This window comes from Homo sapiens, chromosome 15 (genome assembly GCF_000001405.40).
Source record: "Homo sapiens chromosome 15, GRCh38.p14 Primary Assembly".
NCBI classification, from domain to species: Eukaryota; Metazoa; Chordata; class Mammalia; order Primates; family Hominidae; genus Homo; species Homo sapiens.
In genome coordinates this window covers 30,833,136-30,844,384 of record NC_000015.10, presented here as the reverse complement: position 1 = coordinate 30,844,384, position 11,249 = coordinate 30,833,136, and the positions used below count along the sequence as shown (strand labels likewise).

Here is an 11,249-nt window from a genome sequence, read left to right as displayed (position 1 = left end):
GTCATCAAAAACTCAGAATTGACTTTTTTTTCTTCTCAACAGAGGAGTCATATGGGTAAGGCTTCATATTGGAACATAAAACTATTGCTGCCAAATGAGTCATTAACATTATTTAGTTTGAGCAGATTATTGCAAATGTTGCCTTGAAAAACGAAGTGCCAATAAATTGTAGCAGCATTAAAACAAACAAAGACAAATAGAATGTTGAAATAATTTTTTCACATCACACCTTCTGTTGCCATTCCCCAACTTCCTTTCTGCCTCACCCCAAGAGTAAACTCCTTCTGAAGACAGGGCAAGGCAGTGCTTTCCTCCCGAGTTCATAGCTACTTTCTAAATAAAACACATGCTGAATGGGTTCAAGCAATGTTGGGGTAGACACCGACTCTGTCCCTTCAATGCCTAGTCTGCCACCTGCACCATACCCAGTGGCATACAGCTAATAAAAGAAAAAGCAACAGTAACATCAGTTTTTAATCTCAATATCCCCTAAATTTAGTAATTCATAAACAATCCATGTTTTAGACATTTTTACCACATAGAAATAAAATTTAAAGTTAAAAATCACAGGAATGTTTATGCCTTTATACATGCTCTATCAAAGTTCTAGAAATGAAATAAAAACACGACTATTAGAAATTCCAAATTCAGAAAACATACTGTGAAAATAAAGTCTTCTCCCTGGAAGCTCTTCGATTTTTGTCTGGAATACCAACTACAATTAACACCAAGAAAAGCAAAAAACAATTTAATTATCTACTATATGCAAATCTCTGACAATAACAGCCACAAAACATACCCGTAAAAGAACACAAATACATTTTAATATTTCAGCAGGGCAGCGTATAAACCACATGGGAAAAAACGCTTTTTTTTTCCATCTAAGTGGGAATGTTTTAGGACACAAAACATCTATGATTAATTTTTTAAAAAACATGATTAATTTAAAAAGACACACACACACAATCAGACTGCCATTTTCCAAATGAAGGCAAACATGCCTCCTGATAAAAACTTAAATGCTGTTCCATGCTGTTTTAGACATCTTTCAAACGTGCTGCTACGCTGACATAATAGTAAGGAAGCCACAAGGCCCAACGCAGGAAGTGAAACCCAAACTCAGGTGGATAAATGAGCCCCACCCCCAAAGCCAGCTTCTGGCGGGGAGGGTGTGAGGCTCTCTGGTGCACACGGTGCAGGGTAATGCAGCATGCCTCCAAGGACTTCCTATAGAAAGTGGGGCTCCAAAGGGTTGCCCCTCAGTGACTGTGAATAAGAAGAACACCACAGAAAGCTGCCCTTCCCAGCCTCAGCACTGACAGGGAGACAGAGGCTTGCTCCTGAGAATTCATAACTACAACAGGAGTTGGCAAATTATGGCCCATGGGCTGAATCAGGCCCATCATTTGTTTCTGTAAATGAAGTTTTATGGGAACACAGCCACACCCACTCATTTATAATATGTCCAGGGCTACTTTTGCAGTTGCAACAGAGACTATATGGCCCAAAGCTGAAAATACCATTGTGTCCTTTACAGAAAGTGTTTACCAACCCCCACCCTAGAAAAAGGACAAAATGAAGATATTTTGAAACAATCAGAATTAACCAATGAAAGAATTTCACTAAAGTAAATTGAAAAAGATATGATAAAGGAGAAGGAAATGATTTTATAAGATCTGAGACATAGCAAACGATGGTAAGAAACGATAGTAAGCAAAGATGTGCAATATTTGGCTAACTCCAGAAAAAAACCACAGTCCATATAAAACAACCAAAACAACAACAATAATGTCTATGGCAGAGGGGAATAGGTTAGAACCCAAACACTGGGTAACAAGGGGTCACTGATTGGGAGGAGGGGAAAATACTAATTAACTTTAGGTTTTTAAGTACCTATGTTAAAATAACCAGAGAAACAACGAAAAGAAACAAAATTCTCCTGAGAATTGACAAAGAGGGGCTATATTTCAAACCTTTTTATGAGGCTAGACCACTTCGACACCTGTGCTAGCAATCTGCCCCTGACACGGTTCACAGTGATCCCTGCTTCCAAATATGCATGCTCCTGTACACAGGCACACTCCATTTGACTGTGCCTCGCTTTACTGTACCTCGCAGATACTGTTTTTTACAAACCGAAGGTCTGCGGCAACCCTGCACTGACCAACTCTAACGGCGCCACTTTTCCACCAGCATGTGCTGACTTACTGTCTCTATGTCACATTTTGATAATTCTTGCAATATTTTAAACTTTTTCATTATTTTATCTGTTATGATGATCTGTGATCAGTAATGTTTGATGTTACTGTTGTACTTGTTTTGAGGCACCACAAACCACACCCATAGAAGATGGTGAACTTAAATGATAAATGTGGTGTATGTTCTGATTGTTCCGCCAACCAGCTGTTCTCCCATCTCTCTCCCTCTCCTCAGACCTCCCTATTGTGTACCTGAGACATAACTTATTGAAATTAGGCCACTTAATAACCCTGCAGTAGCCTCTAAGAGTTCAAGTGAAAGGAAGAGTTGCATATTTCTCACTTTAAGTCAAAAGCTAGAAATGATTAAGATTAGTGACGAAGGCACACTGAAAGCCAAGACAGGCTGAAAGCTAGGCCTCTTGCACCAGTTACCCAAGAAAAAGTTCTTGAAGCACAATTAAGTGCAACTCTAGTAAACACACAAATGATAAGAATGCAAAACAGTCTTATGGCTGATATACAGAATGTTTGACTGGCATAGACAGAAGATCAAAACTGATACAACATTCCCTTAAGCCAAAGCCTAATCCAGAGCAAGGCTCTAACTCTCTTCAATTCCACGAAGGCTAAGAGAGGTGAGACAGCTGCAGAAGGAAAGTCTGAAGGTAGCAAAGATTGGTTCCTGAGGTGTAAATAAAGACGCCGTCTTCATAACATAAAAGTGTGAGGGAAAGTAGCAAGTGCTGATGTAGAAGCTGCAGCAAGTTACCCAGAAGATCTAGCCAAGATCAGTGATGAAGGTGGCTACGCTAAACAACAGGCTTTCAACGTAGATGGAACAACCGTCTATTGGAAGAAGATGCCAGCTAGGACTTTCATAGCTAGAGAGAAGTCAATGTTTGCCTTCAAAGCTTCAAATATTTTGTTAGGGGCTAATGCAGCTGATGACTATATTAGTTGAATTCGTTGAAGTCAATGCTCATTGACCATTCTGAAAATCTTAGGGCCCTTAAGAATTATGCTAACTCCACTCTGACTGTGCTCCAGAAATAGAACAAAACCTGGAAGTCAGCACATTTGTTTACAGCATGGTTCACTGAATATTTTAAGCCCACTATTGAGGCCTACTGCTCAGAAAAAAAGATTTCTTACAAAATATTACTGCTCATTGACAATGTACCTGGTCACCCAAAAGCTCTGATGAACATGTACAAAGAAATTAAAGTTGTTTTCATGCCTGCTAACACATCATCTTTTCTGCAGCCACATGGATCAAGGAGTAATTTCAACTTCAAATCTTGTTATTTAAGAAATACACTTCAGTCTCTACTAAAAAATACAAAAAATTAGCCAGGCATGGTGGCGGACACCTGTAGTCCCAGCTACTTGGGAGGCTGAGGCAGGAGAATGGCGTGAACCCAGGAGGTGGAGCTTGCAGTGAGCAGAGATCACGCCACTGCACTCCAGCCTGGGCTACAGAGCAAGACTGTCTCAAAAAAAGAAAAAAAAAAAAACAAAGAAATACATTTCATAAGGCTACAGCTGCCATAGATAGTGATTCTTCTAATGGATGTGGACAAGCTAAATTGAAAACCTTCTGGAAAGCCAGCACCATTATAAATGCCATTAAGAACATTTGTGATTCATGGGAGGAGGTGAAAATATCAACATTAACAGGGATGTGGAAGTGGATTCCAACCCTCATGGATGACCTTGAGAGGTTCAAGACGAGAGGAAGAAGTGACCTCAGATGTGGTGGAAACAGCAAAAGAACTAGAATTAGAAGTGGAGCCTGAAGATGTGACTTAATAGACTATAGTATACACATACTTTTATATCCACTGGGAAACCAAGAAATTTGTGTGACTTACTTGTGAAGACACTTGCTTTATTGTGTTGGTTTAGAACCAAGCCTGCATACCTCCAAGTATGCCTACAGCTCCCTCTCCCTGAGTGTGGGCTGGACTTAATGACCTGCTTCTGATGAGCAGAATAGGGCAAGAACGATGGAGTGTGGTCACTTCTGTGATTCAGTTACACAGGACCGGGGCTCTGTTTCCTCCACTCTCTCTTGCTGGTGCTCCCTCCTGCGCCTCCCTTGCTCTCGCTGACAGTCAGTTGCCACGCTGTGAGACGCTCTATGGACACGTGGCAAAGGGCTGAGTGAGGGGAGGCTCTGCCAACAGCTCATAAGGGACTGAGGCCTCAGCCCAAAGGTCCACAAGGGACTGAATCCTTGCTCGGACAGCCTCAAGACAACTGCAGCCTGCTGAGATTCTGAGCTGGAGGATGGAGCTATGCTGCATCCAGAGTCCTGACCCAGAGAAACTATGAAATGATACATGTGTGTGAGACAGAACATTACACGAGACTATCTCACTCATGAATAGGATCTCCCAAAAATCTAAACAAAACAATCACAAACACAAGCCAGATACATATCCTGACCAAACTGGATTTATCCAAACAATGCAAGTTTGTTTAATATGAGAAAACCAATTAATCCAACTGACTATACCAATCCATTAGAAAACATTGGCCAGGTGTGGTGGCTCATGCCTGTAATCCCAGCACTTTGGGAGGCCGAGGCGGGCGGATCACAAGGTCAGGAGTTCAAGACCAGCCTGACCAATATGGTGAAACCCCATCTCTACTAAAAATACAAAAAAAAAAAAAAAAAAATTAGCCGGGCATGGTGGCAGTCGCCTGTTGTCCCAGCTACTCGGGAGGCTGAGGTAGAAGAATCTCTTGAACCCGGGAAGCAGAGGTTGCAGTGAGCCGAGACTGTGCCACTGCACTCCCGCCTGGGCGACAGAGTGAGACTCTGTCTCAAAAAAAAAAAAAAAAAAAAAAAAAACAGAAAACATCTATGAAAGAACATTTCAAAAATACATAGAAAGAGTGTTGAACACTCCACTGATGAACAGAAACAGAAGGAAACATGCCTAATCTAATCAAGGGCTTCTACTCAAACCCCACTGGAAGCCTGGAAACGCTCCTTCTGTGCCTGCTCCAGTCTGGATCAAGGCAGGAGCCTCTGCCCACTCCTACCCAGAATCACATCACAACCCCAGCCCGCACCATGAGCTCCCATTCTCCCACACAAATGGGAAAAATAAAAGAGAGGTATGCTAGACAGAAAGGAACAGAATTCATTTAGAGACTATGGCACTCTATAAAGAAGATATAAGAAATCTTCAGATACACTAGAATGAAGAGACTCAAGTAGGTCACCAAACATAAAGTCAGTATATAAACATCCAATATTTCTATATATCAGTGGCAATCTTTTTTTTTTTCTTTTTTTTTTCTTTGTGACAGAGTATTGCTCTGTCGCCCAGGCTGGAGTGCGGTGGTGTGATCTCGGCTCACTGCAACCTCCGCCTCCCAAGTTTGAGTGATTCTCCTGCCTCAGCCTCCCGAGTAGCTGGGATTACAGGCACGTATCACCACGCCTGGCTTATTTTTAGTAGAGACGGGGTTCCCCATGTTGGCCAGGCTGGTCTCAAACTCGTGACATCAGGTGATCCACCCATCTTGGGCTCCCAAAGTGCTGGGATTACAGGTGTGAGCCACTGCACCGGGCCAGCAGCAATAAATTTTTTAAAAGTATTTACAATAGCAAGGAAGAAACACATCTAACGAGTGATACACAAACAAAAATTGTAATACTTTCGTATACATGATGTATTTTCAAAATTAAAAAAAAAAAATTGGCCAGGCATGGTGGCTCACACCTATAATCCCAGCACTTTGGGAGGCCAAGGTGGGCGGATCACCTGAGGTCAGGATTTCGAGACCAGCCTGGTCAACATGGTGAAACCCTGTCTCTACTAAAAATACAAAAAAGTTAGCCAGGTGTGGTGGCGGGCGCCTATAATCCCAGCTACTCGGGAGGCTGAAGCAGGAGAATGACTTGAACCCAGGAGGTGGAGGTTGCAGTGAGCTGAGATTGCGCCATTGCACTCCAGCCTGGGCAACAAGAGCAAAACTCCATCTTAAATTTTTTAAAAAAAAATTTAAAGATTATGCAAAAATATCTTAGAAGTCTAACTGCTTCCTGCATACCACAGTACTATTAATCCTGAGAAACGTTTTAGTGCAGATCCTTGCCTGTGCTAAGAACCACACAGCACCGTTAGCCACAACTGCCTCAGGCTCAGTGACCCTGTGACACAGAAAAAGCACCCTTACCTTCCCATCAGCTGTCACAGCAGAGGGTCTGTTCCCCTCCGATTAACTGCATGGGTCTGAGAGTTGTGAGGGCTTCACAGGGAGAGGGAATTTTGACTTTTGCACCTTCAATGCCCCCGAGCTGGCCCCTATGATCATGTCCCCAACCATAAATTGTTCCACTGCCACCAGCAGACAGATTCCAATCATCTGGTCGCCTACAACACACATCAAGTGAGCATTTGCCATGGGAAAGAACAATGCACACAGCCTCTCGCGTTCAAGATCGACATTACTGCTTGTTTCTAATATAATAACCTGTTCATTCACTGCACAACTTGTTCATCTTGCTCTCTTTTAAAAATGTCTTGGCTCTCAGGCAGAACATCCCATGTTTTCGCTGTCTGCCATTAATTCACGAATTTTCTTAGCCACTTAAACAAAATTATTATGATGTTACAAATCAAACACTCATCTCAAACAAAATAAATAAATACTAAGGAAAGACAGAAGGAATCCCTGCCTGAAAATATGAGGGAAGAGCAACATTGCAATGTTATGGTTCCTGGGCAAAACCAATAATGACTGCATCAAGTCTAACATATTAAAAATGTCTAGACAGTCTCATTCTATCTGTAGTTCACTAAAAATAAACTTTAACTGAAATTCACAGTGTCAGTTCACTCATTTTCACCTATGTGTTATTTTCTTTCTTTTTCTCTATGGTGCGATCTCGGCTCACTGCAAGCTCCGCCTCCCGGGTTCAAGCAATTCTCCTGCCTCAGCCTCCTGAGTGGCTGGGATTACAAGCGCCCGCCACTACGCCAAGCTAATTTTTGTATTTTTAGTAGAGACGGGGTTTCACCATGTTGGTCAGGCTGGTCTCAAACCCCTGACCTCGTGATCCACCCGCCTCGGCCTCCCAAAGTGCTGGGATTACAGGCGTGAGCCACCGCGCCTGGCCCTACCTATGTGTTATTTTCTTTGATATTCCTTGGCAAGGAAAATTTTTCTGTGTCTCATAATATTGGCATCTTGTTACACTATAGCTAAACAATGTTTTTGCATCCCAAAAGTGATTCCAAAATATCATGCAATACCTCATCAAGAAACAGACGGGGCAATGGTGTTCTTTTGTCAAGGGCCACAGCAATGCGGGAGGCCATGCAGTACCTCCGGAACCAGGCCCACTTGTGCGTCTCGGCACAGCAAGGCAGAGTGTCCAGCTCCAGGTCACAAGCAAGAGCTACCAGTACCTGCAGGCACCAAAAATGACAAACTCAGGGACACTCAGAAATGCAGTGAACAGGCCGAGGTTTCTGTGGCTCCTTCCGCAGGACCTCCTATTCCAGGATGACGGCCATGGGCACAGCAAGGATACGGCCACCATCAGTGATGTGGCGATCTCTGACAGTTCCTAGCCACGTGCCACACAACTGCTGCAACACTTGTTGCCTGCATCAAGTGACAAGAACACCTGTGCATCTCAAGGCATGCTAACGGTTACAGGCTTATGGTTTAAGGGTTTAGATTACACGATCATTTCTTGAGATTTTTTCATATTTGACTTCAGCAACCTACAGCTGCCCTCAGAGGCCTAAAACACACAAACAGACTGCACATGACAACTCTCAGTGGCTCTTTCAGTCAAATAGCTCTATTGTCACTTTAAAAAAGAAGTGAAACATTACCTTAAAGAATGGGCTGTGGAGCAGCTGTTTGCCACCCCTCACAATAGGATCTTCATATTCAAACTGCCTTTGCAAAGCTTCTGGAAGACCTTTCACCAAAGCAGCAAGAGCACTACCTGTAAAACTCTAAGAAACAACAGAACAGTATTCTATCGTGGGAATCCAGAGTACAGGAGAGGCTGACCATTTGTCTCTAAGGTCAAATGTTTTATTATGTTGGTACCATTTCTTCTAAAAAAAAAAAAAAAGCTTATCAAAATTCTCAAGTAGGAAAAAAGCTAAAAGAACATAAACACTAAAATAAAAAAGAGGAGTTTAAAGACTCATCTCAGAATGTTTGGTCTTGATTTCAGTACATCCGCTTCCAGAGAAATAGCCCCTCTCTGGCCCACAAACGCTGCCTGTCTCCTCCCATGTGTAGGATCAAAAGGGACTACTTTAGTCAGCAAAATAAAGGGGAGGCCAATCAGTTAGCCTCATTGTCCAAGTCCAATCAACACAATCCTATGTTCATGGCAGTCGAGACAGATTTTCACAAAATCAAAGTCCAACTTGAACTCAGTATGCACTGCAACATACAAAAAGTCTGGATGTGACAAAGCCTTCCTTATTCTTTTTCTTTTGAGACGGAGTCTCGCTCTGTCACCAGGCTGGAGTGTAGTGGTGCCATCTCGGCTCACTCCGAACTCCACCTCCCAGGTTCAAGCAATTCTCCTGCCTCAATTTCCCGAGTACCTGGGACTACAGGCGCCTGCCACCACGCCCATCTAATTTTTTGTATTTTTAGTAGAGTTGGGGTTTCACTGTGTTAGTGAGGATGGTCTTGATCTCCTAACCTCGTGATCCGCCCGCCTCGGCCTCCCAAAGTGCTGGGATTACAGGCGTGAGCCACCACACCCGGTCCGAGGCCTCCTTTTTCTTATGTGAAATTCCCCAACTCTTCTCAATGATTTAGAGGTTTAGACTACGAAAGCAACATTTTATTCCCCAAAGGTCACAAATCTAGAAATTGTACTAGAATGCTCCATACCAAAGCTCTTGCTTCCCCATCATTTTCTCCAAGCAGCCTATTTATGTTAATTGATTGCCCAAATTCAGTTGTAAGCAGCTTCCTCAATTTCTGAAGGGCCCACATTCTGTGACTGGTGGCTGAAATGAGCAGAAAGAAGTATCAGAAGTCTGATGGTTTCTTCCAAGTAGGAAGACAGATGTAACTGTAATGGTGGCATTTACCTAGGCCACTCAGCTGTGCACAAGCTGCCAGCAAGGCCACAAGGCAAGGGACGACACTTCTGTTAGAGGCAAGGTTGAGTCGGAAGTCTAACAGACACGTCACCAAGTCCGTGGATGGACAAGAGAGGACGCAGCAGTCAGAGAGGAGTTCTTTAGGGCCTGTGAATGAGCACTGTAAACACCCCTGTGTTTCACAAGCTAGGGACCAACCCATAAGAAGCCAACAAACAAGGGTGGCTCCACCCAGCCCCACCCACCAGAAGGCAACAGCTGGTGTGCCCACGCATGCCACTGCGAGTCGGTGAGCCTTGCTCTTCACACTCACACTTCCACTGTAAACCAAAAGCCTAAGAATGACACCAGCAACAACTCCTTCCACACCAGGTGAGGAGGAGTGTGAGCCTGATAGTTGGACGGCTGGGACAGTTCTCTGTGTTCTGTTCCACGCCTCAACGGGGCCTGTGGGAGCATTCACCGCAACACAGCAGAAGGCAGGCCGTCAGGCACTACATGGAAATGTGCACATGTCCATGTTACTCCAGAAACAATCCACAGCCAGTCATCTAACTTTGATTGCCATAAGCCCCTCCCTTACCAGCAGCTGGCATGATGGGATAGATGGTGAAGCACCAGCCCCAGCCGTTCACAGGCCCGTCGCTGATGAACTTCCATTTTAACTCATCCCCCGGGATACGTAGCTAGCTGGACCAGTCGGACCACCCTCGGTCTGGGGGAGGAAAGTGAATCTCGGGGTTAGCTTCACTCCATCATCCAATCAACACAAACTTCCTTAGACACAAAGCAGAATGATTTCCATCATGCATGAAGAGCAAGTTCCTCCAATCCAAGCTCTCCCAAGCTGAAGTGCACAGTGACACATCACTCTTGGGATTCACATTTTAATACATACCATTCTTCAGCAAACACGCATTCAGCCCCTGTACCAGGTACCTAGGAAACTGGGGCAGGCGGGCAGACACTGCCCTGGCAGAAGCCATCGCCCAGTGGGGAAATGACCCCACCAGCCAGGATACAGTGAGTGGGCCTCCAGGTCTCCAGCACACACCAGGCCAGGGGCCATGGGGATGTTTCCCGGGAATGCTCTGATACAACCAGGTGGCCAGGCAGCAGAAGGAAGAACCCTAGCTCTCCCATCAAAAGGCCCATGTGTGTGGTTCAGCACAGCCCAGAGGAGGCCGCCCTCGAGGGAGCAGAGGGCCTGGCTGCTGTGGACAGGAGCGGTGGTGTACTACAGCATCTCAGAAGGCCAAGAGAACCCCTCCAGATTTCTGCTTCAGAATGACCATCTGGCAGCAGCCCAGGGATGGCCCATAAGCACTTTCTGCTGGATGCAGAAATACGGTCACATCCAACAACACTACTGAAAACTACACTGGCAAACATCTGTCAAAGCACCAGAAAAACCCACGCCCACTGGGACCACACCACTTCATGCAAAGCTTTACTTAACTAAGTAACGCTGTGTGAATAAAGTTTTCCTGGGACACAGCCACGCCCATTCACTGGCATCCTGTCTGCATGTTATGACAGAGGCTGCATTACCTGGCCCTTTACAGGAAACACTCGAGATGAAGGATAAAGAGGTCTTAAAAGGTGCATACACACACCCCTGCACTGCCAATTCTAAAATACTTGGTAAAAGAGCATTTCACAAGCCCCCAAAGACGTCCTGATGTGTCCCCGCTGGCCTCATGGAGCCCAGCAGCAGAGACAAGCCGGACACGTGGCTGCCTCCACCTACACACAGAAATCACTCCACACATGGCCATGCCCTCACTGCAGCCAGTAAGAAACAAACCCCTTGAAGAAGCTCTGTATTATGCCAACCATGACCTCGCACGAGCCCTGGCACCCCACACGTCACCAGCACCTTCTGCAACTGTCTGGTGAGGCAGGGCCCATCCGACAGGGATGTGGTACATACATCACA

General features: G+C 44.7%; 1 annotated feature.

Annotated features, from left to right (window-relative positions):
• Positions 4,293-4,493: a silencer, noted in NCBI's record as "peak2284 fragment used in MPRA reporter construct". NCBI's record gives its function as "represses an SCP1 promoter by STARR-seq MPRAs in K562 erythroleukemia cells {active_cell/tissue: K562}" and the evidence as "EXISTENCE:reporter gene assay evidence [ECO:0000049][PMID:32103011]".